The following is a 27,865-nucleotide window of genomic DNA, read 5'->3' as shown; positions in this document are numbered from 1 at the left end:
CTTTTTTTTTTTTTTTTAGACGGAATGAGTGTCACTCTGTCATCCAGGCTGGAGTGCAGTGGTGCAGTCTCGGCTCACTGCAAGCTCCGCCTCCCGGGTTCACACCATTCTCCTGCCTCAGCCTCTTGAGTAGCTGGGACTACAGGCCCCCACCACCATGCCTGGCTAATTTTTTATATTTTTAGTATTCTTATATATTTATAATTTATATATTATTTTTGTATATTTAGTAATTTTTTGTATTTTCACCATGTCGGTCAGGCTGGTCTCGAACTCTTGACCTTGTGATCCGCCCACCTCGGCCTCCCAAAGTGCTGGGATTACAGGCGTGAGCCACCGCACCCGGCCTCCTGAATTAACATTTTCTAAAGATGCTTCTGGCGTGCTATCCTGAAAGCTGCCAGAGGTGTCTTGGCTGCATTGGTGGTAATAAAATTCATACTCATATTTGACTTTAATGATGTTCATTTATTTAAACGATCTGTATGAATTCGGTGATTTTGTGGATACGCCCCTGACAGACAAGGATTCACAGCCGACGGAAGTCAGGGAGGCTCCCTGCAAATTCTTCATCTCCGCGGGGCCTGCCCGAGCCCTGATCCTGCAGAGCCGTGGGGCTGAGGTAGCCGCCGGTTGTGGTCCAGGAGTGCGTCTTTCTGGATGCGGGGCACCTTCATTTCACCGTAGCAACCGGGTACCAAAAGTAGAAGCGGATTTTTGGAAAATGAGTCATTAGGTCCCAAAGAGAACCTATTGCAACATGGACTCCATAACGTTCTTGAGGATCATCCTGAGAAACTGATGTCTCTCGTTAGACAAAAATGCACGATTTGCTTGGGAAAGGGGAGTAAAAATGGTGCTGGCATCCATTGGCTGGCTGGGAACTTGAACCAGCAGCTCCAACAAGCGACATGTAGAAAATGAGGTATAGGCCGGGCGCGGTGGCTCACGCCTGTCATCCCAGCACTTTGGGAGGCCGAGGCGGGTGGATCACCTGAGGTCAGGAGATCGAGACCAGCCTGGCCAACATGGTGAAACCCCGTCTCTGCTAAACACACAAAAATTATCCGGGCGTGGTGGCGGGCGCCTGCAATCCCAGCTACTTGGGAGGCTGAGGCAGGAGAATTTGCTGGAACCCGGGAGGTGGAGGTTGCAGTGAGCCAGGATCACACTACTACACTCCAGCCTCGGCAACGAGAGCGAAACTCCGTCTCAAAACATAAATAAAAATACAAATACAAAATTAACCAGGCACGGTGGCACGCGCCTGTAATCTCAGCTCCTCGGGAGGCTGAGGCAGGAGAATCACTTGAACCCGGGAGGCAGAGGTTGCAGTGAGCTGAGATCGTGCCATTGCACTCCAGCCTGAACAACAAGAGGGAAAATCCATCTCAAAAAAACAAAAAAAAGTATTTGCAGGATCTGCGTCTGAAACTAGGACCGTTCACGCTTCAGAGGCAGAAAGAAACCTGTGCAGAAAACCGGTGTGCGAGTCTCCCACACGGACTGGGGGCGCCTTCCGTGGGGGGGGGGTCTCCCTTGTACCTGTAGGACTTTAATTCACGGAGGTGACCGGGACTAGCACAGAGAGGCCACTGAAAGAAGAAATTACTCCTGACCCTTCCCGAGAGAAGACGCTGCCACACCACGCAGGGCACAAGCGGATACCTGGGTTTGGCTCGGGAGGCAGGAATGAATGAGGGAACAGCCCAGGCCACAGCCTTCAAGGGGCTTCGGCAGAACCGGGCAACAGGACTAGGGAACGGCTGAGGATTGACAACTTTTGAACACTTCAGTAGCACTCCGGGCTGGGGGGCTGGCTCTACTGGGCTGGGACCCAGCCAGGAATGATTTAGGGCCAGGGAAATACTGGCTTGAGGCCAGGTGCGGTGGCTCACGCCTGTGATCCCAGCACTTTGGGAGGCCAATGCGGATGGATCACCTGAGGTCGGGAGTTCAAGACCAGCCTGGGCAACATGGTGAAACCCCATCTCTGCTAAAAATACAAAAGTTAGCCAGGCGCGGTGGCGGGCGCCTGTAATCCCAGCTACTCAGGAGGCTGAGGCACAAGAATTGCTTGAACCTGGGAGGCAGAGGTTGCAGTGAGCTGAGACTGCGCCACTGCACTCCAGCCTGGGCGACAGAGCGAGACTCCATCTCAAACATAATACTCCTCCTACTACTACTAAATAATTAGCTGGGCATGGTGGTGTACACCTATACTCCCAGTTACTTGGGAAGCTGAGGCGGGAGAATTGCTTCAGCCCAGGCGTTGAAGGTTACAGTGAGCTATGACTGTGCCCCTACTACACACCAGCCTGAGCAACAGAGCCAGACCCCATCTCTACAAAAAAAATTAGCTGTGGGTGTGGTGGCTGACACCTGAGGTCCTGGCTATGGCAGAGGTTGAGGTGGGAGGATCAGTTGAGCCCAGGAGTTTGAGACCACCCTGGACAACATAGCCAGACCACGTCTCTACAAAAAAATAAAATTACCTGGGCATGGTGGTGCCTGCCTGTGATCCTGGCCACTCTGGAAGCTAAGGTGGGAGGATCACTGGAGCCCAGGAATTTGAGACCAGACTGTGCCATGTGGTGAAACCCTGACTCTACCAAAAATACAAAAATTAGCCAGCAGTGGGGGTGTGTCCCTGGAGCCCCAGCTACACGGGAGGCTGAGCTGAGAGGATCGCTTGAGCCCAGGAGGTTGAGGCTGCAGTGAGCTATGACTGTACCACTGCCCTCCAGCCTGGGTGACAGAAAAAGACCCTGTCCCTAAACATAATTTAAAGAAATATCGGCGGCTGGGCACAGTGGCTCATGCCTGTCATCCCAGCACTTTGGGAGGTCGAGGCGGGCAGATCACCTGAGGTCAGAAGTTTGAGAACGGCCTGACCAACGCGGAGAAACCCCGTCTCTACTAAATATATGAAATTAGTCGGGTGTGGTGGCACATGCCTGTCATCCCAGCTACTCGGGAGGCGGAGGCAGGAGAATTGCTTGAACCAGGGAGGCGGAGGTTGCGGTGAGCCGAGATCTCGCCGTTGCACTCCAGCCTGGGTGACAGAGTGAGACTCCTCAAAAAATATATATATACACATATATATATATACACATACACACGCACGTATATATGTATACGTGTGTATATACACGCATACACACATATACATGTATACATACACGTATACACGCATACACACATATACATGTATAAACACATATACATGTACACATACACATATACATGCATACACATATACATGTATGCATACACGTATACACATATGCACACATATACATATATACACACATACACACATATACACACACACACACACATATACACATGTATAAACATACATACATATATACACACCGATATATACACATATATACACACAGACACATAAACACACATATATACACACACATATATATCTATAGGCTTGGTGTGAGAACTAGCTGAGGGGTTGGCTGACAGGGGAGGCCGGCTCCTAAGTGGGCTGTCACTGTGTTTAGTAATTAGTGAGCTGTGGGAGGATAGTGTCTCCCTGGGTCTGTAAGGGCTCCAGACGCCACAGCAAGGAGAATACAGAAATAAGAAAACATATTATGGGCTGCCATGGTGGTTCTTGACTGTCATCCCAGCACTCTGGGAGGCTGAGGTGGGAGGATCACTTGAGGCCAGGAGTTCAAGACCAACCTGGCCAACATAGAGAGACCCCATCTTTTTTTTTTTTTTTTTTTTTGAGATGGAGTCTCGCTCTGTCGCCCAGGCTGGAGTGCAGTGGCACGATCTCAGCTCAATGCAACCTCCACCTCCCGGGTTCACGCCATTCTCCTGCCTCAGCCTCCTGAGTAGCTGGCACTACAGGTGCCCATCACGCACCCAGGTAGTTTTTGTGTTTTTAATAGAGACGGGGTTTCACCATGTTGGTCAGGCTGGTCTCGAACTCCTGACCTCATGTTCCACCCGCCTTCGCCTCCCAAAGTGCTGGGATGACAGGCGTGAGTCACTGCACACTCGGCTGTTTTTTTTTCTTTTGAGATGGAGTCTCGGTCTATCATTCAGACTGGAGTGCAGTGGCACGATGTCAGCTCAATGCAACCTCCATCTCCCGGCTTCAAGCAGTTCTCCTGCCTGAGCCTCCCGAGTAACTGGGACTACAGGCGCCTGCCACACACCCAGCTAAGTTTTGTATTTTTAGTAGAGATGGGATTTCACCATGTTGGTCAGGCTGCTCTCAAGCTCCTGACCTCATGATCCACCCACCTCGGCCTCCCAAAGTGCTGGGAAGACAGGCGAAGTCACCACGCCCAGCCACCCCATCTCTATTTTAAAGAAAATGAAAACGTATTATCATCGGTCCTATGATCACCAACATTTGGCCCAAACAAAGTCACAATACTTGGAAATTCGGGGGTGAAACTGCAGCCGCCGCGTCCCGAACTTCAGAAGGGTCCCGTCAGCACCACAGCAGCTTCTGATTGAGCGCGATGACGTCACTGACGAAGCCGTCTGCGCCGATGAAGTCCCCCGCGATGATGTTGGTGCACCGTGAACCCGGCCCCGGGCACTGCTCTCGGACCCACGCGCTCAGCCGCGGAAGGTTGGGCAGCGTCATCTTCTCCAGGGACTCGGACGGGTGCGCCAGAACGTACTGCAGGTTCTCCGTGAGGTTGATGCCGGCCACGAACAACCCTCCTGCAACGGTGAGGGTGGGGAGAGGTTACACGGTCACGGGCCTCACCCGCCTGTTTCTCCCTCCTAGTCACATTATTAGAGGTTCGCATCTCAGGAATTAAGAGTTGAAAGCACCATGTCCAACAAGGAAATTGGGTGAGCTTTGCTTATAAAGCGTGGTGGGCAGTAGACAACCCCAAAGATGCTCACGTCGTAACACCGTGTGGGAGACAGAATAATGTCCCCAAAGATGTCCACATCCTAATCCCCATGTGATAGACAGAATAATGGCCCCAAAGATGTCCACGTCCTAATCCCCATGTGATAGACAGAATAATGTCCCCAAAGATGTCCACGTCCTAATCCCCATGTGATAGACAGGATAATGGCCCCAAAGATGTCCACGTCCTGATCCCCATGTGATAGACAGAATAATGTCCCCAAAGATGTCCACGTCCTAATCCCCATGTGGGAGACAGAATAATGTCCCCAAAGATGTCCACGTCGTAATCCCCATGTGATAGACAGAATAATGGCCCCAAAGATGTCCACGTCCTAATCCCCATGTGATAGACAGAATAATGTCCCCAAAGATGTCCACGTCCTAATCCCCATGTGGGAGACAGAATAATGTCCCCAAAGATGTCCACGTCCTAATCCCCATGTGATAGACAGAATAATGTCCCCAAAGATGTCCACGTCCTAATCCCCATGTGATAGACAGAATAATGTCCCCAAAGATGTCCACGTCCTAATCCCCATGTGATAGACAGAATAATGGCCCCAAAGATGTCCACGTCCTAATCCCCATGTGGGAGACAGAATAATGTCCCCAAAGATGTCCACGTCCTAATCCCCATGTGATAGACAGAATAATGTCCCCAAAGATGTCCACGTCCTAATCCCCATGTGGGAGACAGAATAATGTCCCCAAAGATGTCCACGTCCTAATCCCCATGTGATAGACAGAATAATGTCCCCAAAGATGTCCACGTCCTAATCCCCATGTGATAGACAGAATAATGTCCCCAAAGATGTCCACGTCCTAATCCCCATGTGATAGACAGAATAATGTCCCCAAAGATGTCCACGTCCTAATCCCCATGTGGGAGACAGAATAATGTCCCCAAAGATGTCCACGTCCTAATCCCCATGTGATAGACAGAATAATGTCCCCAAAGATGTCCACGTCCTAATCCCCATGTGATAGACAGAATAATGTCCCCAAAGATGTCCACGTCCTAATCCCCATGTGATAGACAGAATAATGTCCCCAAAGATGTCCACGTCCTAATCCCCATGTGATAGACAGAATAATGGCCCCAAAGATGTCCACGTCCTAATCCCCATGTGATAGACAGAATAACAGCCCCAAAGATGTCCACGTCCTAATCCCCATGTGGGAGACAGAATAATGTCCCCAAAGATGTCCACGTCCTAATCCCCATGTGATAGACAGAATAATGTCCCCAAAGATGTCCACGTCCTAATCCCCATGTGGGAGACAGAATAACAGCCCCAAAGATGTCCACGTCCTAATCCCCATGTGATAGACAGAATAATGTCCCCAAAGATGTCCACGTCCTAATCCCCATGTGGGAGACAGAATAACAGCCCCAAAGATGTCCACGTCCTAATCCCCATGTGGGAGACAGAATAATGTCCCCAAAGATGTCCACGTCCTAATCCCCATGTGGGAGACAGAATAATGGCCCCAAAGATGTCCACGTCCTAATCCCCATGTGGGAGACAGAATAATGGCCCCAAAGATGTCCACGTCCTAATCCCCATGTGATAGACAGGATAATGTCCCCAAAGATGTCCACGTCCTGATCCCCATGTGATAGACAGAATAATGTCCCCAAAGATGTCCACGTCCTAATCCCCATGTGATAGACAGAATAATGTCCCCAAAGATGTCCACGTCCTAATCCCCATGTGATAGACAGAATAATGGCCCCAAAGATGTCCACGTCCTAATCCCCATGTGATAGACAGAATAATGTCCCCAAAGATGTCCACGTCCTGATCCCCATGTGGGAGACAGAATAATGTCCCCAAAGATGTCCACGTCCTAATCCCCATGTGATAGACAGGATAATGTCCCCAAAGATGTCCACGTCCTAATCCCCATGTGATAGACAGAATAATGTCCCCAAAGATGTCCACGTCCTAATCCCCATGTGATAGACAGAATAATGGCCCCAAAGATGTCCACGTCCTAATCCCCATGTGGGAGACAGAATAATGTCCCCAAAGATGTCCACGTCCTAATCCCCATGAGGTAGACAGGATAATGGCCCCAAAGATGTCCACGTCCTAATCCCATGTGGGAGACAGAATAATATGGCCCCAAACTTGTCCACATTCTTATCCCCCATGTGATAGACAGGAAGAATGCTGTTGTCTTGGGCACTAAGTCTGTGCCATCTCTTATGAGGCTTATAGAGAGGGTTGACGTTGACCAGTGATTCTCAAAGTGGGGTCCCTGCAATAGTTAGAAATGCAAATTTGGGGGCTCCACCTACATCTGCTGAGCCGGAATCTCCTGCAAGCCATATTTGAAGAAGCTCCCCCAGAGGTAGGTTCCAGTGCCCCTGTGTTGACCAGCTGGACTGATTCCACAGCCAGAGACGGCAAAGGCAACAGACGTTTATGGCCAAGTTCTCTCAGTGGTTTTTAACACGTATTTCTAGGCTGGGCACGGTGGCTCATGCCTGTCATCCCAGCACGTTGAGAGGTTGAGGCCGGTGGATCATGAGGTCAGGAGTTCAAGACCAGCCTGACCAACACGCTGAAACCCTTTCTCTAGTAAAAACACATCCAAAAATTAGCTCAGCATGGTGGTACGTGCCCGTAATCCCAGCTACTCGGGAGGCTGAGGCAGGAGAATCACTTGAATCCAGGAGGTGGAGGTTGCAGTGAGCCGAGATCACGCCATTGCACTCCAGCCTGGGTGACAGAGCAAGACTCTGTCTCAAAAACAAAACAAAACAAACAAAAAAAGGCCGGGCACAGTGGCTCAAGCCTGTAATCCCACCACTTTGGGAGGCCAAGGCGGGCAGATCACCTGAGGTCGGGAGTTCGAGACCAGCCTGATCAACATGGAGAAACCCCATCTCTACTAAAAATAAAAATTAGCCGGGCGTGGTGGGAGGCTGAGGCGGGAGAATTGCTCGAACCCAGGAGGCGAAGGCTGCAGTGAGCCAAGATTGCGCCATTGCACTCTAGCCTGGGCAACAAGAGCAAAACTCTGTCTCAAAAAACAAACACACAAACAAAAAAATTTTCCGCCTGGCACCGTGGCTCACGCCTGTCATCCCAGCACTTTGGGAGACTGAGACGGGCAGATCATGAGGTCAGGAGTTCGAGACCAGCCCGACCAACATGGTGAAACCCTGTCTCTACTAAAAATACAAAAAAAAATTAGCCGGGTGTGGTGGCGGGCGCCTGTAGTCCCAGCTACTCAGGAGGCTGAGGCAGGAGAATGGCTTGAACCCGGGAGACGGAGGTTGCAGTGAGCCGAGATCGCGCCACTGCACTCCGACCGGGGCAACAAGAGTGAGACTCCACCTCAAAAAAAAAAAAAAGACATTTCTGAAGTCTCTAAACCTCGTTCCTGTGTGAGGGCAAGAGACCAAGTTGAAAAAACCTGCTCCTTTGCCCGGCCCGTGACTGGGTTTCATGCTGCCCCTGTGGGAAGCAGCCCTCGCGGCCGTGAAGATCACCTTGAGAGAACCCAGCCGCAGGCTGCAGGACCGAGACGGCCCCACCTGCCACCGTCCCCGCGGGGAGGACCTTCCTCCCTCCCTCCCTCAGGCTCCTGCCTCCGGAGGACACGGGGCCGTGGCTGCCGACGCTGTCTGCACCTCACACCCCGTCGGTGGCTTTTTTACAAAAATTGTGGTGAAATTCACGTACAAAAAAGTTACCTTTTTTTTTTTTTCCCAAGATGGAGTCTCGCTCTGTTGCCCAGGCTGGAGTGCTGTGGCGCGATTTCGGCTCACGGCAGCCTCCGCCCCCGGGTTCAAGCAATTCTCCTGCCTCAGCCTCCCGAGGAGCTGGGATTACAGGTGCACACAACCACGCCCAGCTAAATCTTTTTGTATTTTTACTAGAGATGGGGTTTCACCAGACTGGTCGCAAACTCCTGATCTCAATTAATCCACCTGCCTCGGCCTCCCAAAGTGGTGGGATTACAGGCGTGAGCCACTGCACCGAAATTCACGATTTTAAATTGCACAACTCGGCTGGGAATGGTGGTTCAAGCAGATCGCTTGACCCCAGAAGTTTGATTTTGTCTTGTTTTGTTTTGAGACAGAGTCTCGCTCTGTTGCCCAGGCTGGAGTACACTGGCTCGATCTCGGCCCACTGCAACCTCCGCCTTCCTGGTTCAAGTGATTCCCCTGCCTCAGCCTCCTGAGTAGCTGGGATTATAGGCGCGCATCACCATGCCTGGCTAATTTTTCTCTTTTTTGTTTTGTTTTGAGATGGAGTCTTGCTCCTGTCGCCCAGGCTGGAGTGCAGTGGCGCGACCATGGATCACAGCAACCTCCGCCTCCTGGATTCAAGCATTTCTCCTGCCTCAGCCTCCCAAGTAGATGGGATTACAGGTGCCTATTTTTTTTTTTTTTTTGAGACAGAGTTCCACTCTGTCGCCCAGGCTGGAGTTCAGTGGCGTGATCTCGGCTCACTGCAAGCTCCGCCTCCCGAGTTCACACCATTCTCCTACCTCAGCCTCCGGAGTAGCTGGGATTACAGGCGCCCGCCACCACGCCCGGCTAATTTTTTGTATTTTTAGTAGAGACGGGGTTTCTCCATGTTAGCCGGGATGGTCTCGATCTCCTGACCTCATGATCCGCCCGCCTCGGCCTCCCGAAGTGCTGGGATTACAGGCGTGAGCCACCGCGCCCGGCCTGTGCCCGCTAATTTTTGTATTTTTGCTAGAGAAGAGGTTTCGCCATGTTGGCCAGGCTGGTCTCCAAACTCCTGACCTCAGGTGATCCACCCACCTTGGCCTCCCAAAGTGCTGTGATCACAGGTGTGAGCCACCGCACCTGGCTGACACCAGGAGTTTGAGACCAGCCTGGCCAACACAGTGAGACCCCTTCTCTAATCAAAGAATTAACTAAAAAAAATAAAGTGGATTCACGTTGTGCAACTCCGACCTCTCCCTAGTTCCAGAACATTCTCATCGTCCTAAAAGGAGAGACCCTGTTTCCATGAAGCAGTCAGTCCTCATTTCCCCTCCGCAGCCCCCGGCAACCACAAATCCTCTTTCTGTCTCTGGATTGGCATGTTCTGGGCATTTCCTGTAAATGGATTCACACACTACGTGTCCTTTTGTGTCTGGCTTCTCTCACTGAGCGTGATGTCTTAAGGTTTGTGCCCGCTGCATCCTTGTCAGAGCCTCGTTCTTTTTCATGGCTGTGTAATATTCCACCGCGTGGATGGACCACACCTTGTTGATCCCTCCCCCCGCCAATGTACATGGACTGCTTTCTCCCTGGGTGCTTCTTAAGTAGAGACAGGGTTTCATCACATTGGTCAGGCCGGTCTCGAACTCCCGACCTCAGGTGATCTGCCCGCCTCAGCCTCCCAAAGTGCTAGGATGACAGGCATGAACCACTGCGCCCGGCCGCTAAGTTTTATTTCTAGTAAAGTTGGGGTCTCACTATGTTGGCCAGGCTGGTCTCAAACTCCCGACCTCAGGTGATCCACCCGCCTCGGCCTCCCGAAGTGCTGGGATTACAGGTACAGGGATTACCACGCCCAGCTCATGGATTCCTTTTAAATTGTTTTCACGTAAAAGTGAAGGCAAGTCCATGTGGACCCGGCCTGCCGCAGGGCGTCACGGGAGGCTGTGTGGAATCTACCCCCACGAGGGGCGACCTGGTACCTGGGCGGCCGCAGCTCTTCATGGTCTCCAGGTATCGGATGAGGGCCTCGGTCTTCACCCTGTTTCCCCACCAGTAGGGGACTCCTGGCCACAGCTCGTGGTGCCGGCGCAAGGAGCTCTCGTCTTCATAGGAGACGATGACCTGTTGGCCCCGGGACCACAGCTGCCGCAGTGTCGGCACCTCCTGCAAAGGACCAGAGTTAAGGGGTGCAGGGGAGAGAGGAGAGCCGGGGGCACCTGGGAGAGCGGAGGGCTGGGAAGTCGGGACACCGGCCCAACACGAGTATAAACCAAAAATGAAATTCTGGCCGGGCGCAGTGGCTGACGCCTGTAATCCCAGCACTTTGGGAGGCCGAGGTGGGTGGATCACCTGAGGTCAGGAGTTTGAGACCAGCCCGGGCAACATGGTGAAACCCCATCTCTACTAAAAATACAAAAATTGGCCGGGTGCGGTGGTGCACGCCTGTCATCCCGGCTAGTCAGAAGGCTGAGGTAGGAGAATCGTTTGAACCTGGGAGGCAGAGGTTGCGGTGAGCCGAGGTTTCGCTATTGCACTCCAGCCTGGGAGACAGACCGAGACTCCCTCTCAAATAAATAAATAAATTAAGTATGGCCAGGTGCAGGGGCTCATGCCTGTAATCCCAGCACTTTGGGAGGACACGGCGGGAGGATCACTCGAGGCCAGGAATTCGAGCCTGGGCTGCACAGGGTGACCCTGTCTCTATTTTTATATATTTATTTATTTTTATTTTTTATTTTTTGAGACGGATCTCGCTCTGTCTCCCAGGCTGGAATGCAGTGGCGCGATCTCGGCTCACTGCAACCTCCACCCCCCGGGTTCACACCATTCTCCTGCCTCAGCCTCCCGAGTAGCTGGGACTACAGGCGCCCGCCACCACGCCCGGCTAATTGTTTGTATTTTGTGTTAGTAGAGACGGGGTTTCACCGTGTTAGCCAGGATGGTCTCGATGTCCTGACCTCATGATCCGCCCGCCTCGGCCTCCCAAAGTCCTGGGATGACAGGTGTGAGCCACTGCGTCCGGCACACCCACCGCCACACCCAGATAATTTTGGTATTTTTAGTAGAGACGGGGTTTCACCATGTTGGCCAGGATAGTCTCAATCTCTTGACCTCGTGATCCGCCCGCCTCGGCCTCCCAAAGTCCTGGGATGACAAGCGTGAGCCACCACACCCAGCCTAATTGTTGTATTTTTAGTAGACACCAGGTTTCACCATGTTGGCCAGGATAGTCTCGATCTCTTGACCTCGTGATCCACCCGCCTCGGCCTCCCAAAGTGCTGGGATGACAGGCGTGAGCCACCGCGCCCGGCTGACGCTGCACACATTTCTAAACCCGTCAAGGGAAGCAGATCTCACCAGGAGCCACCCCACCGGGTCAGCCAGGGCCCCCCACACTGCGGGAGAGCAGGCAGCCCCCGTTCGACGGCTTCACCTGCTACAGGAATCATGGCAGCACCCACACCCAGGGCACAGCAAATGGAGTCTGAGGCTGACGATGCCCCTGCCCCGGGAGAGACGTGCGGATATCCTTCCCCTCCTCACCCCACGAGGACACAGCATGTCCCCGAAGATGTTCTTGATACAGGCGACCAGGTACTCGTGCAGGTCCTCGCTCAGCCCCTCGAAGTTTCTGCAGGCCAGGATGACCACCTCGCGTGGATGCCGCTCCAGCCACTCCGAGATTTCCGTGAGTGTGTCCTGGGGAGGGGGGTGCTGGGCTGAGTCCTGCACGACTCCAACACCACAGGGAAGGCGGGGTGTGGCGGCTCACGCCTGTCATCCCAGCAATTTGGGAGGCCGAGGCGGGTGGATCACCTGAGGTTAGGAGTTTGAGACCAGCCTAGCCAACATGGTGAAACCCCGTATCTACTAAAAATACAAAAATTAGCTGGGCGTGGTGTCCGGCGTCTGTAATCCCAGCTACTTGGAAGGCTGAGGCAGGAGAATTGCCTGAACCCAGGAGGCAGAGGTTGCAGTGAGCTGAGATTGCACCACTGCACTCCAGCCTGGGCGACACAGCAAGACTCCATCTCCAAAAAAAAAAAGCAAAAAAAAAAGAAATCTCCGTAACGGATTGGCGGGGTCAGTGTCTCCTGTCTGGTGTATAGGTGACGTCACCCTTCCATTAAAGACCGGGCGTTTCCTGTCCACATCTGCATGTGGCTGTTTCATCCCCACGGGAGCTTGGCCACCTCCCGCCGTCCCCCTTGCTTCCCACCTCAGCCCGGCCGCACCTGCACCAGCGCCCGGCCGCCTCCCGCTGTCCCCCTTGCTTCCCACCTCAGCCCGGCCGCACCTGCACCAGTGCCCGGCCGCCTCCCGCTGTCCCCCTTGCTTCCCACCTCAGCCCGGCCGCACCTGCACCAGTGCCCGGCCGCCTCCCACTCTCCCCATTGCGTCCCACCTCAGCCCGGCCGCACCTCCACCAGCGCCGTTGTGTACACCATATGGACAAAGTGCAGGTTCTTCTCCGAGCCCTCCAGCATGTGGGCTATCCGCAGGTCCAGGTACCGCACCCCGGCATCCAGCTGCTCTGTGACGTCCAGTGCCTGTGGACAGAGGCTGCTGTCATGTCTGCCTGGCTGAGCGCCGCGTCTGGGGGGCTCAGGAATGGGCTGTGGGGTTGGCCCACCCGCATGTCCTGCTGCCCACTGGGACGTGGATGTCGTAACAACAGCTGTTTGTATGTGCTGGGAGCGCTGCAGCCACGGGGACCTGCATTTGGAAAACCTCATCTCCGGGGACCTGGCCTTTTTTTTTTTTTTTTGAGACGGAGTCTCGCTCTGTCACCCAGGCTGGAGTGCAGTGGTGCAATCTGGGCTCACTGCAAGCTCCGCCTCCCGGGTTCATGCCGTTCTCCTGCCTCAGCCTCCCCAGTAGCTGGGACTGCAGGCGCCCGCCACCGCGCCCAGCTAATTTTGTTTTGTATTTTTAGTAGAGATGTGGTTTCAACATGTTAGCCAGGACGGTCTCGATCTCCTGACCTCGTGATCCACCCACCTTGGCCTCCCAAAGTGCTGGGATTACAGGCGTGAGCCACCGCGCCCGGCCTCTACTAAAAATTTTAAAAATCAGCCTGGGTGTGGTGGTGTACACCTGTAGTCCCAGCTGCCCGGGAGGCTGAGGAAGGAGGATCCTTTGATCCTGGGAGGCCCAGGCTGCAGGAAGCTGAGATCGCACCACCGCACTCCAGTCTGGGTGAGAGAGCGAGACTCCATCTCTAAAGGAATGAATGAATGTGATTATTAGGGAGAAAGGGGCCTGTCTCCCTGTTTCCCAGGGACTAGCAGATGCCTGACTGCAAACTGCAGACCCGCCTCAGGTCCTAAAGACACGAGAAATGAGTCCTTGTCTGTCTTGAGTGCAGGCATGAAAGGGGTTGTCTCGGCCGGGCGCGGTGGCTGACGCCTGTAATCCCAGCACTTTGGGAGGCTGAGGCGGGTGGATCACGAGGTCAGGAGTTCGAGACCATCCTGGCTAACACAGTGAAACCCTGACTCTACTCAAAATACCAAAAATTAGCCGGGCGTGGTCGCGGGAGCCTGTAGTCCCAGCTACTCAGGAGGCTGAGACAGGAGAATGGCGTGAACCCGGGAGGCGGAGCTTGCAGTGAGCCGAGATGGCACCAACTGCACTCCAGCCTGGGCGGCAGTGAGACTCCGTCTCAAAAAAAAAAAAAAGAAAAAGAAAGAAAAAGAAAGGTGTTGTCTCTGCTGGGATGCAACAGGGCGAGACCCTCTCCCTCTGCAGCTCTCAGTGGAGGCCTGCGATGCTCACGGCATTAGCTTTACGCCATTTAATAAAATGCTGGGCCGGGCGCGGTGGCTCACGCCTGTAATCCCAGCACTTTCGGAGGCTGGGGCGGGCAGATCATGAGGTCAGGAGATCAAGACCATCCTGACTAACACGGTAAAACCCCATCTCTACTAAAAATACAAAAAATTAGCCAGGTGTGGTGACAGGTGCCTGTAGACCCAGGTACTTAGGAGGATGAGGCAGGAGAATCGCTTGAACCCAGGCAGCGGAGGTTGCAGTGAGCCGAGATCACGCCACTGCACTCCAGCCCGGGTAAGAAGAGTGAGACCCTGTCTCAAAAAATAAATAAATAAAAACACTGTTCCCCTCTCTTCCACCTCTGGGGAGGGGTTCTGGGTGGGCAGCAGGTTTTGTTTTAATCCTGTCTCCGCAGCTGGGATAGGAACCTGCCTCCTGAGCCCACAGGGCACCACTCAAACCCTACCTGGGTGAGGGGCCATTTCAGCACCACGGGGCCGTGGGCCCCACATAGCTGACAGGCCAGGTCAGCAGCACGGGGCACAGACCGTACCTGGGTGACGGACCATTTCAGCACGACAGGGCGCGTGATGCAGGGCAAGGCCTTGTTCAGCAGCTGCAGCAGCCGGGACTCCTCGTGCGAAATGGGGGACTTCTTGTTCAGGCAGTACGTCATCGTGTCGTGGCTCCCTGAGAGCAAAGCACACACGCGGACATGTCACCACGAGTCCGTCCCCGCCACCTGCTGTGAGTCGCTCCACAGCCCGCCTACAGCACAGGCTGCTGCCCGCCCACAGCACAGGCACAGGTATGGCGGGAGGGGTGCACGCTGACCCCCAAAACTCACGTCCACTGGAACCTGGGAACACGACCCGTGTTGAAACAGGGTCTCTGCAGATATCATTAGGTTGAAATGAGATCATCCTGGAGTAGGGCGGGCCCCCAAATCCAGTGACAGGTGTCCGTCTAAGACACAAGAGGAGGAGACAGACACAGAGGAGGAGGCCTCGTGGAGACGGAGGCAGAGACTGGAGTGATGCGGCCACAAGCCCAGGGATGCCTGGAGCCCCCAGGAGCTGGGAGAGGCAGGAAGGATCCCCCACTCTAGAGCCTCTAGAAGGAACTGAATACAATTTCAATGACTTGAGTGGTGATCCCCAAAAGAGCTGTTCAAGTCCTAACCCCCTGCCCAGAACCTGTGAATGGGATCCTGTTTGGAAATAGGGTCTTTACACATGCTCTCAAAATGCTCAAGATGAAGTCATCTTGGCTTTGTGCTGGGTCCTAAATGCAATGACAGGTGTCCTTAGGAGACACAGACCCAGAGGAGGAGGCCACGTGGAGATGGAGGCAGAGACTGGAGTGATGCGGCCACAAGCCCAGGGATGCCTGGAGCCCCCAGGAGCTGGGAGAGGCAGGAAGGACCCTCCCCTAGAGCCTCAGGAGGACGTGTGGTCCTGCCCATATCTTGACTTCAGATTTCTGTATCTAGAACTGGGAGAGAGTAAATTTCTGTTCTTTGCCGCCTCCTGACGTGTGCTCACTTGTTATGGTAACCGCAAGAAACACAGACCTTTGTAGAGTTTGACTGATGGCTGACGTTTGCATTTCCTGCCTATGACACGTAGTTGTTATTTCTTAAATATAGATATAAATATATCTATATTTAAGATATATATATTTAAGATATATATGACATATATCTATATATAAACATATATAGTATCTATATCTATAAACAAAGATATATAGTATCTATATCCATAAACATATATAGTATCTATATCTATATATAAACATATATAGTATCTATATCTATATATAAACATATATAGTATCTATATCTATATATAAACATATATAGTATCTATATCTATATATAAACATATATAGTATCTATATCTATATATAAACATATATAGTATCTATATCTATATATAAACATATATAGTATATATTCTATATATAAACATATATAGTGTATATATATCTATATATAAACATATATTAGTATATATTTACATAAATACATATTTTTGCATAAATATGTATTTATATAAATATATAAAATATATATCCACATATTATGTTTATAAATATAATATATAAATGTACTTATGTATCATATATTTATATAAATATATGATATATATTTTATATTTTACATTTACTTATTTATATATTATATATAAATATAAATATGTATGTTTATATATAAATATGTACACTTACATATAAATGTGTGTGTGTATATACATATTTGCAGAGATGGGGCCTCACTATGTTGCCCAGGCTGCTCTCAAACTCCTAAACTCAAGTGATCCTCCTGCCTTGGCTTCCCAAAGTGCTGGGATTACAGGCGTGAGCCACCACGCCCGGCCTTCCCCCTTTAAATCCCCTGAGGAACGTGAAGCCCCTTTACATCCTCTGAGGAACGTGGACCCCCTTTAAATCCCCAGACCCCGAGAGGCATTGGAACGAAGCCACAGTCACCTGCTCCCCCGATCTTGAGCTAAGGTGTTAAGGAAGGAGACCAGTACTTCTCCTGCTGCCCCCTACCCCCACCTTGCCTAGTTTATAAGACAGGAGAAAGCAAAAGGTTGGAAAGAAACAGAAGTAAGATAAATAGCCAGACAACCTTGGCACCACCACCCAGCCCTGGGAGTTAAAATAATATCAATCCATAACCTAAACCACTTCTGTTATCTGTAAATGCCAGACGTTGTATGAAAAAGCGTTACAAAACTTTCTGTTCTGTTAGCTGACACATGTAGCCCCCAGTCACGTTCCCCACACTTGCTTGATTTATCACGACCCCTTCACGTGGACCCCTCAGAGTTGTAAGCCTTTAAAAAGGCCAAGAATTTCTTTTTTAAGGAGCTCGGCTCTTAAGATGTGAGTCTGCCGAAGCTCCCGGCCAAAGAAACCTCTTCTTTCTTTAATCCGGTGTCTGAGTTTTGTCTGCGGCTGGTCCTGCTACAGTATCACCCCTGGAAGCTACTTACTAGGTCAGCTCTAGACTGACAGATGCCCCGCATCTCTACAAATTAACCTAAGATGTCGGGTGCAATAGCTCATGTCTGCAATGCCAGCACTTTGGGAGGCCGAGGCAGGTGGATTGCCTGAGGTCGGGAGTTCGAGACCAGCTTGACCAACATGGTGAAACCCCATCTCTGCTAAAAATACAAAAATCAGCCAGGCATAGTGGAGCGTGCCTGTAATCCCAGCTACTCGGGAGGCTGAGGCAGGAGAATCGCTTGAACCCAGGAGGCAGAGGTTGCGATGAGCTGAGGTGGAGCCACTGCACTCGAGCCTGGGCGATAAGAGCAAAACTCCGTCTCAAAAAAAAAAAATTAACCTCAGGATGTCACACTGGGGCACCATAACTCATTCCCTACATTGCAAGGAAGAACGCGATCAGTGCTCGATGCCACTTCAGTAACCCACATGAATTCCTGAAAAACAGCTTTCATCATCACCCCCTCTCCTGATGTGCACTTTCTTTAGAAGCTCCCGTCTCGACGTTGTTCTCCACAGCCACTTCCTAAGGCGAGTTGGAGGGTTTCCTGGGCTGCAGTCCTCAAATGTGGCTCAAGGAAACCCCCTACTTATATTAATTTTGTCTAAGTTTATTTCCTTAGGTTGACAATACGTATCTGTGTGCATGTGTATGTGTGTCCGTATGCCTATATGTGAGTGTGCATGTGTGTGCCTGTGTTTAAACATGTACCTGTGTTCCTGTGTGCATGGACGTGTGTCTACGTGTGTGCATGTGTGTACACGCGTGTGCATGTGCATGTGTGCCTGTGTACACGTGTGCATATGTGCATTCATGTATGTCTATGTGAATAGGTGCAAATGTGTACATGTGTATGTCTGTGTGCATGCATGTACGTGTGTACACGTGTATACATGCATTGCATAGACGTGTCTCTGCGTGCATAGGTGCAAATGTTTATGTGTGCACGTGTGTCTGTGCATGTACATGTCTACACCTGTGTATATCTGCAGGTGTATATATGTGTGCATAGGTGCAAATATATATATACATGTGTGCATGTGTGTACATGTGTACACGTGTGCATGTGCATGTGTACACACCCGCACATGTGCATGCATGTGTATGTGCATCCATGTGTGTATGAGCCTATGTGCATGTATACATGTGTGCATTAGTATGTGCCTACATCCATGTATACATGTGCCTGCATGTGTGTACACCTGTGTGTGTGCATGTATATGCATCCATGTGCATATGTGTGGGGATGTGCATGTGTGCATGCATGTATGTGTGTGCGCATGCATGTGTGTGTGTATGTATGTGTCTGTGTGTGCCTGCATGTGTGCCTATGTGCACCTATGTATGTGATATGGCTCGGCTGTGTCCCCACCCAAATCTCATCTTGAATTGTAGCTCCCATAATTCCCATCTGTCATGGGAGGGACCTGGTGGGAGGTCACCGAATCACGGGGCGGGTCTTTCCCATGCTGTTCTCGTGATCGTGAATAAGTCTCACGAGATCTGATGGTTGTACAAAGGGCAGTTCTCCAGCACACGCTCTGTTGGCTGCCACCATGTAACATGTGACTTTGCTCCGCATTCACCTTCTGCCGTGATTGTGAGGCCTCCCCAGCCAGGTGGAACTGAGTCCATTAAACCTCTTTTATAAATTACCCAGTCTCGGGTATGTCTTTGTTAGCAGCGTGAGAACAGACCAACACAGTATGCACATGCGTATGTGTGCAGATGTGCATGTGTGTGTGCAGATGTGCATGTGTGTGTGCAGATGTGCGTGTGCAGATGTGCATGTGTGCGTGTGTGCGTGTGTGCGTGTGTGCATGTATGCCTGTGTATGTGTGCACATGTGTGCATGCCTGTGTGTATGCATGTCTGTGCATGTCCATGACTATGTACATATGTGTATGCACACACGTGTGCACTGTGTGTATGTGTGTGTCCACATCAGTGTGCTTTCTAGGATTTCCCTACACCCAGGATTGCTCCTACAGCCAGCGTCCCCACTGGGGAATGCAGACGCCACAGCTCCCGCCCCACCCTGCCGTCACCTGGGATAGAGGCAACGGCCCCTGCCCCACCCCAACCTCACCTGGGATGGAGAGGTGGTGGAGGGGCACATCCCAGAGCCGGGGACACAGTGCCGACATCCAGTCCTCGTTGGCATTTCTGCAGTGCAGCCTCGAGAAGCTGTTGGAAGCGCTCACCTGCCCACCCATCAGAGGTGAGCCCTGGGCAACCTGAGGAAGGAGAAGAGGAAAAGAGGTTTTTTACGGTGACTTCAGGTCAGGAGTTCGAGACCAGCCTGGCCAACTTGACAAAACCCCATCTCTACTAAAAATACAAAAATTAGCTGGGCGTGGTGGTGGGCACCTGTGGCACCTGTCATCCCAGCTACTCGGGAGGCTGAGGCAGGAGAATCGCTTGAACCCGGGAGGTGGAGGTTACAGTGAGCGGAGATCCCGCCACTGCACTCCAGGCTGGGCAACAAGAGTGAAACTCCATATCCAAAAAAGAAAAAAAAAAAAGAGAGAGAGAGAGAGGAAAAGGGGTCCTTGGAAGCATTTTTTGCAGCTCCAAAAAATGTTTCTTGTCTAGCGTGAAAGCCCTGGCTCTTAGACCCGGCTTGGCAACCTTTAATATGCAAATGCGAGCCTTTAGCTGGTCCAGCCCACATGGCGATTCCCACCGTTGCCCTCTTGCCCTCGCCCCCACCCGTGCCTGACACCAAGGCCGCCCCCACCCGGGCCTGACACCAAGGCCGCCCCCACCCGGGCCTGGCAACACGGCCGCCCCCACCCGGGCCTGGCACCACGGCCGCCCCCACCCGGGCCTGACACCAAGGCCGCCCCCACCCGGGCCTGACACCACGGCCGCCCCCACTACCCTCAGGCGTGTGGAACATCATGGCGCCCTACATTTGCATATTACGGAACTGGGGTGGGCGGGCCAGGTTTTTCGCGGGCTACGTGAATGACAGGCCTGGTCAGACCAATCCCCTCAGCGCTATGCAAATGAGTCACGCCTCCTCCAGGCACCGTATAACACGGGCTGGTCTCCTGCCTGGGGTTTGGAGCCCCCGTCCCTCTGTCTCAGTCCAGGGGAGCCACTTCTTTCTGCCTTCTCGCCTTGGTTTTTTTTTTTTTGAGACGCAGTTTCGCTCTTGTTGCCCAGGCTGCAGTGAAATGGCGCGATCTCGGCTCACCGCAACCTCCGCGGTGCTGGGATTACAGGCGTGAGCCACTGCCCGGACCTCCCTTCTTTCCTATTAAACTCTCCGCTCCTTAAAACCACTCCACGTGTGTCCGTGTCGCCTACACACACACACACACACACACATACACACATAACAGAATATATACATATATACATATTATATACATAACATATATATAACATATATAATATATACATATAATATATATTATACATATAATATATACATATATAATATATATATAATATATATATAACATACATGTATAACATATATACATATATAATATAGACATATATAACACATACATAACATATATACATATATACATCACTATATATACATATATAAGTATATATATATAATATACTGTTGAAAATAAGGGAAGTGACCCTTTCCATAAGGACATTTTAGACAACTTGTAAATTCTTTCTCTGCCTCTGAAGTGTATATAACTTTTTTGGTTGGTCTTTTTTTTTTTTTTTTGACACAGTTTCCCTCTCGTTGCCCAGGCTGGACTGCAATGGCGCGATCGCGGCTCACTGCAACCTCCGCCTCCCAGGTTCAAGCAATTCTCCTGCCTCAGCCTCCAGAGTAGCTGGGATTACAGGCGCCCGCCACCACACCTGCTTAATTTTTGTATTTTTGGTAGAGACGGGGTTTCACTATCTTGGTCAGGCTAGTCTTGAACTCCTGACCTCAGGTGATCTGCCTGCCTCGGCCTCCCAAAGTGCTGGGATTACTGGCGTGAGCCACGGTGCCCAGCTGTATGTACGGTTTTTTTTTTGTTTTGTTTTGTTTTTTTTAAAGACAGGGTTTCACTCTTGTTACCCAGGCTGGAGTGCAATGATGCAATCTCGGCTCACTGCAACCTCCGCCTCCCAGGTTCAAGCAATTCTCCTGCCTCAGCCTCCAGAGTAGCTGGGATTACAGGCGTCCGCCACCACGCCCGGCAATGTATGTAAGATTTTTAATCATTTAGATTAAAACTGATTAGATTAAAATCATTAGATCTAATTGATTTAATCAAATCAATTAGAATTGTTGATCTTGAGCCCAGAAATCAGCCTGTTGACAGTTTCACATCTGAGGAATGTTTCCTGGTGGACCTGAGGCCTCCTCTTAGAAATGAGACCTGGAGGGGCCGGGCACGGTGGCTCACGCCTGTCATCCCATCACTTTGGGAGGCTGAGGTGGGTGGATCACCTGAGGTCAGGGGTTCGAGACCAGCCTGGCCAACATGGTGAAACCCCATTTCTACTAAAAGTACAAAAAGTAGCCGGCCGTGGTGGCGCACGCCTGTAATCCCAGCTACTCAGGAGGCTGAGGCTTGAACCCGGGAGGCGGGGGCTGTAGTGAGCCACAATCACACCATTGCACTCCAGCCTGGGTGACAAAGTGAGACTCTGTCTCAAGAAAAAAGAAATGGGACAGAGAGGAAGGGAAGAAGCCCCGGCCTCCTGGAGAAGAGACAAACTTCAGCTGCCTGCAAACTGCAAACCCACCTTGAGTCCCACACGCAGGGGGAGTTCGGAATTCGAATTGTTGGTCTCGAGCCCAGAATGAAAGGCCTGGTCTCCCTGGGCCGCAAGAAAGGACGAGATCCTCTCGGTCTGCAGCTCCTGGCGGCTGCCCGCGTTGGCTTCACAAGGTTCTGTAATAATCCTGCTGCCTTCTCTTCCACACTGAGGCCAGGCTTCCCAGGTGGCTGCAGATTTTGTTCTTATTTACATCTTCCCAAAAGCCTTCCTCCCAGACCCTAAGCCAACACCAGCTACATGAACTCAGATCTTCCCTGCTGCCCGGAAGGAGGGAGGGAGGGAGGGAGGGAGGGAGGGTCCCGGGAGCCTGCTGGGCCCAGGAGGAGGAGCCCATTCTTTATCAGCCCGGGGGATGTCAGCTCAGCCTCTTTCTCCAAGAGAAGCAACCACACCTGTACCGCGGCTCCGGGTCCCCAGGAGGGAGCTGGCCCCTTCTCTGCAGCCAGCTGGAAAAGGCCCAGGACGGCTTCCCCTCCCCCTGCACGCCCCCCGCTCCGCCTGCACGGCCCCCCCTCCCCCTGCACGGCCCCCCTCCGCCTGCACGGCCCCCCCTCCCCCTGCACGGCCTCCCCTCCCCCTGCACGGCCTCCCTTCCCCCTGCACGGCCCCCCTCCCCCTGCACGGCCTCCCCTCCCCCTGCACGGCCTCCCCTCCCCCTGCACGGCCTCCCCTCCCCCTGCACGGCCCCCCTTCCCCCTGCACGGCCTCCCCTCCCCCTGCACGGCCTCCGCTGCCCCCTGCACGTACCCCCCTCCGCCTGCACGGCCTCCCTTCCCCCTGCACGGCCTCCCTTCCCCCTGCACGGCCTCCCCTCCCCCTGCACGGCCTCCCCTCCCCCTGCACGGCCTCCCCTCCCCCTGCACGGCCTCCCCTCCCCCTGCACGTCTTCCCCTCCGCCTGCACGGCCTCCCTTCCCCCTGCACGGCCTCCCTTCCCCCTGCACGGCCCCCCTTCCCCCTGCACGGCCTCCCCTCCCCCTGCACGGCCTCCCTTCCCCCTGCACGGCCTCCGCTGCCCCCTGCACGTACCCCCCTCCGCCTGCACGGCCTCCCTTCCCCCTGCACGGCCTCCCTTCCCCCTGCACGGCCCCCCTTCCCCCTGCACGGCCTCCCCTCCCCCTGCACGGCCTCCGCTGCCCCCTGCACGTACCCCCCTCCGCCTGCACGGCCTCCCTTCCCCCTGCACGGCCTCCCCTCCTCCTGCACGGCCTCCCCTCCCCCTGCACGTCTTCCCCTCTGCCTGCACGGCCTCCCTTCCCCCTGCACGGCCTCCCTTCCCCCTGCACGGCCCCCCTTCCCCCTGCACGGCCTCCCCTCCCCCTGCACGGCCTCCCTTCCCCCTGCACGGCCTCCCCTCCTCCTGCACGGCCTCCCCTCTGCCTGCAGGGCTGTGCAGTGATCTGCCTGGAGCATCCCAGCAGGGCCGCTGTGAGCCTCCGGATGCCCAGGGTCCCGGGGCCGCGGGGTGGAGGGGAGGTTAAAATGCAGGTCTGGGCGGGGCCCGCTGGCTCACGCCTGTAATTCGAGCACTTCAACACTTTGGGAGGCCGAGGCGGGCGGATCACCTGAGGTCAGGAGTTCGAAACCGGCCTGGCCAACATGGCAAAACCCCATCACTGGTAAAAATACAAAAATCATTTAGCCGTGCTGGCGCGCGCCTGTAGTCCCAGCTACTGGGAGGCTGAGGCAGGAGAATCGCTTGAACCCGGGAGGCGGAGGTTGCAGTGAGCCGAGATCGCGCCATTGCACTCCAGCCTGGGAGACAGAGTGAGACTCCCGTTCAAAAACAAAAAACCTTCGTCTCCACATCCTCTTATCTTAATGCAGATATTCCTTTCTACTAATAACTCTTTTTTTCTTCTTTTTTTTTTTTTCAGAGACAGGGTCTCGCTCTGTTGCGCAGACTGGTGTGCAGTGTCATGATCTCAGCTTACTGCAGCCTCCGCCTCCTGGATTCAAGCTATTCGCCTGCCTCAGCCTCCAGCACAGCTGGGATTACAAGCACTTGCCACCATTCCCAGCTAATTTTTTGTATTTTTGGTAGCAACGGGGGTCTCACCATGTTGGCCAGGCTGGTCTCGAACTCCTGACTTCAGGTGATCCGCCCGCCTTGGCTTCCCAAAGTGCTGGGATGACAGGCGTGAGCCACCGTGCCCGGCCTAATAATAACTCTTTCAACCAATTGCCAGTCAGAAAATTTTAAAATCTACCTTATGACCTGGAAGCCCGCCTCACCACCAGTGGAGCAGTCCCACCTTCACCGATTGAACCTGTCAGGCCTCTGAGCCGAAGCTCAGCCATTATCACCCCTGTGACTTGCACATATACGTCCAGGTGGCCTGCAGGAGCCAAGAAGTCTGGAGCAGCCAAGGAAAAACCACAGAGAAGTAAAACAGCCAGTTCCTGCCTTAACTGGTTAACTAAAATTACAACATTTTACTATCGTGAGTTCTCCCTGCCCTACCTTAGCCGATCAATCGACTTTGTGCCGTTCGTCCTCTGGACAATGAGTCTTATGATCTGTGCACCACGCACCTTGCAATCCCTCCTCTGCTGACAATAGATAACCACCTTTTGCTGTAATTTTCCATTACCTACCCAACTCCTATTGAGCCACCCCTCCCCCATCTCCCTTCGCTGACTCTCTCTTCGGACTCAGCCCACTTGCACCCAAGTGAATGAACCGCTTTATCGCTCACACAAAGCCTGTTCGGGGGTCTCTTCGCACCGACGCGCTTGACAGAACCAAGGTTCGTCTTACACGTATGGATTCATGTCTGACGTTTCCTTAAAATGCATAATACCAAGATGTCCTCCGACCACCTAGGGCACAGGTCGTCAGGACCTCCTGAGGCTCGGTCACAGGCGCGTCCTCAACCTTAGCAAAACACACTTTTTTTTTTTTTTTTTTGAGACGGAGTCTTGCTCTGTCTCCCAGGCTGGAGTGCAGTGGTGCAATCTCGGCTCACTGCAACCTCCGCTTCCCAGGTTCAAGCAATTCTCCTATCTCAGCCTCCCAAGTAGCTGGGACTACAGGCGCCCACCACCACACCCAGGTAATTTCTGTATTTTTAGTAGAGACAGGGTTTCACCTTGTTGGTCAGGCTGGTCTTGAACTCCTGACGTCAGGTGATCTGCCCGCCTTGGCCTCCCAAAGTGCTGGGATGACAGGCGTGAGCCACCGTGCCCGGCCAGCAAAACACACTTTCTAAATGTCCTGAGACCTGTCTCAGATACTTTTTGGTTCAGAAGACTCGAGGAAATCAGTGTCTCCTAGGACAGGCTGGACCCAAAGCTGTACACTCACATCCTCTGTGTCATGACGGATTCCATCCATTCCGGCTACTGTCATACTCCCTCCCTCCCATCACAGTCCCTTCCCCCGTCACAGTCCCTCCCCTCCCGTCACCTTCATCATATCCCAGGTCCCCTGACCACTGAGGGGTGTCCCCTCCTGTCCCCACGTCCCCCGACCCCTCCCCTCACATCCCAAGTCCCCTGACCACTGAGGGGTGTCCACTCCTGTCCCCACACCTGTCCCCATGTCCTCCTGAGCCCTCCCTCACATCCCAGGTCCCCTGACCACTGAGGGGTGTCCGCTCCTATCCCCACACCTGTCCCCACATTCCCCCTGACCCCTCCCCTCACATCCCAGGTCCCCTGACCACTGAGGGGTGTCCCCTCCTATCCCCACACCTGTCCCCACGTTCCCCCTGACCCCTCCCCTCACATCCCAGGTCCCCTGACCACTGAGGGGTGTCCACTCCTGTCCCCACACCTGTCCCCATGTCCTCCTGAGCCCTCCCCTCACATCCCAGGTCCCCTGACCACTGAGGGGTGTCCACTCCTGTCCCCACGTGCCCTGACCCCTCCCCTCACATCCCAGGTCCCCTGACCACTGAGGGGTGTCCACTCCTGTCCCCACGTGCCCTGACCCCTCCCCTCACATCCCAGGTCCCCTGACCACTGAGGGGTGTCCACTCCTGTCCCCACACCTGTCCCCATGTCCTCCTGAGCCCTCCCCTCACATCCCAGGTCCCCTGACCACTGAGGGGTGTCCACTCCTGTCCCCACGTGCCCTGACCCCTCCCCTCACATCCCAGGTCCCCTGACCACTGAGGGGTGTCCACTCCTGTCCCCACACCTGTCCCCATGTCCTCCTGAGCCCTCCCCTCACATCCCAGGTCCCCTGACCACTGAGGGGTGTCCACTCCTGTCCCCACGTGCCCTGACCCCTCCCCTCACATCCCAGGTCCCCTGACCACTGAGGGGTGTCCCCTCCTGTCCCCACACCTGTCCCCACGTTCCCCAACCCCTCCCCTCACATCCCAGGTCCCCTGACCACTGAGGGGTGTCCCCTCCTATCCCCACATCTGTCCCCACGTTCCCCCTGACCCCTCCCCTCACATCCCAAGTCCCCTGACCACTGAGGGGCGCCCCCTCCTGTCCCCAGGTCCCCCGACGCCTTCCCCACACATGACAAAGTGGAGCAGGAAGGAGCCCCGGGGGCGGCCCCCACTCCCAGCCACCTCTGCCATCTCGTCCGGACGGCACAGCGGAGTGGGGTCTGGAGGCCGTCCCACGGAGCACTGACCCTTCCTGGGGGAGGTCCTCTCCACCCTGGCCTTCACGGTCGCGGCGGGACAGCGCAGATGACGGACGGGCCCAGACGCCCGGTGACCCGCCAGGCGGGGTGAGACACCTACACCTTCCCGCCCGCTGAGTCCTCGGGAGACTCACGTCCCAGAGGCGTGAGTGGCCGTGACGCGCACATTCAACGCACGGGGTGAATGGTTGCTGGGTGAATCAACGGAAGGACAGGGGTGCTCAGATCCCAGCATTCCCAGTGCCCCAACATCCCCACCGTCCCAGCTGTCCCGACCCGTCCCCACGCAGGCCCCGGCGGCAGGGTGAGGACGTCCAACCGGCCAAGCAAGTCGTGGCCCCCGGGCTCATTTCATAACCGTCCTGGGCTGTTTCCACACTGGCTCCGCGGCTCTGACCCGGCAGAGAATTCACGGTCTGCAAGGGGTGCAGGCCGCCTGTGGCTGCCAACGTCCAGGCCACAGATCCCAGGCGACCCTCCCCCTGAACCCCCTGCCCGTGCCCCCAGCTAAGGGTCCCAGGAGGAGGAGAAGGAGCCTCAATGACGGAAGCGCGGGTTCCTGATTCCCAGCCCACAACAGGCACAGACGGCACCCGCCACGTCCCCCGTAGGGGACTTGCCATCAGGAGAACGGGGTAGACACACTCACCTTCCAGCCGCTGGAATCCCAGAGCTCCTGGCAGCTCCCGCCGGGTCTCTGCGGGACACTCTTCCTAAAACACACCCAGTCCGCTGCGATTGGCTGTGGCGCGGACACTCCTGCCACCAGGAGGAGGGACAGCCCGCCCCCGCCACGGATCTGTCCCCACCGCAGGAGCGGGACCGGCTGGGCTGCAAACACCGCCCTGAACTCCCACGGGGACCCCACAGACCAGGACTGGGGACCGGAAGACCCCTCCCAGGGGACCCCACGGTGTGTCCCAACAAGGTGTCCCCGGGGTCCCCCGGTCAGGGGCTTAGAGACAGCAAGGACGTCCCAGAGGTGTGTGCCCACGGGTTCTCTGTGGTCAGAGGGGCCCTTGCAGGGGACATTGAGGTGTCTGACTGACGGGCCCCACTCGGGCCACTGGCCGCGGCTGCGGTGGGTCTCCCGGAGCCCCCAGGA

The 27,865-nt window shown here is 53.9% G+C and overlaps 1 protein-coding gene across 10 annotated transcripts; it reads right to left on the bottom strand.

Moving 5' to 3' along the window:
• On the bottom strand, nucleotides 448-27,448 carry PLCXD1 (phosphatidylinositol specific phospholipase C X domain containing 1). 10 transcript variants are annotated; one of them, NR_028057.2, is made up of 9 exons: nucleotides 27,410-27,448; nucleotides 22,120-22,322; nucleotides 19,490-19,637; nucleotides 14,935-15,071; nucleotides 13,028-13,156; nucleotides 12,150-12,305; nucleotides 10,586-10,769; nucleotides 4,412-4,707; nucleotides 448-1,211 (listed from the first exon to the last, which is right to left on the bottom strand). NR_028057.2 is itself a non-coding variant. In XM_047442245.1 (9 exons), the coding sequence occupies exons 4-9, from the start codon at nucleotides 19,614-19,616 to the stop codon at nucleotides 4,469-4,471; spliced, it is 972 nt and encodes a 323-aa protein (XP_047298201.1). In that variant the 5' UTR covers nucleotides 19,617-19,637; nucleotides 22,120-22,322; nucleotides 27,037-27,176; nucleotides 27,410-27,448; the 3' UTR covers nucleotides 448-4,468. The 10 variants fall into 10 exon arrangements, 8 of the variants coding, with proteins under 8 accessions (XP_047298201.1, NP_001357299.1, NP_001357301.1 ...); XM_047442245.1 differs by adding an exon at nucleotides 27,037-27,176 and having other exon boundaries at nucleotides 448-4,707; NR_163416.1 differs by lacking the exon at nucleotides 27,410-27,448 and having other exon boundaries at nucleotides 448-1,914; nucleotides 4,025-4,707; nucleotides 22,120-22,423.

The sequence above is a fragment of the Homo sapiens genome, chromosome X, assembly GCF_000001405.40.
Source record: "Homo sapiens chromosome X, GRCh38.p14 Primary Assembly".
Taxonomy (NCBI): domain Eukaryota; kingdom Metazoa; phylum Chordata; class Mammalia; order Primates; family Hominidae; genus Homo; species Homo sapiens.
Note: the sequence above shows the minus strand (reverse complement) of the source record. Positions and strands in the feature narration are given on the sequence as shown.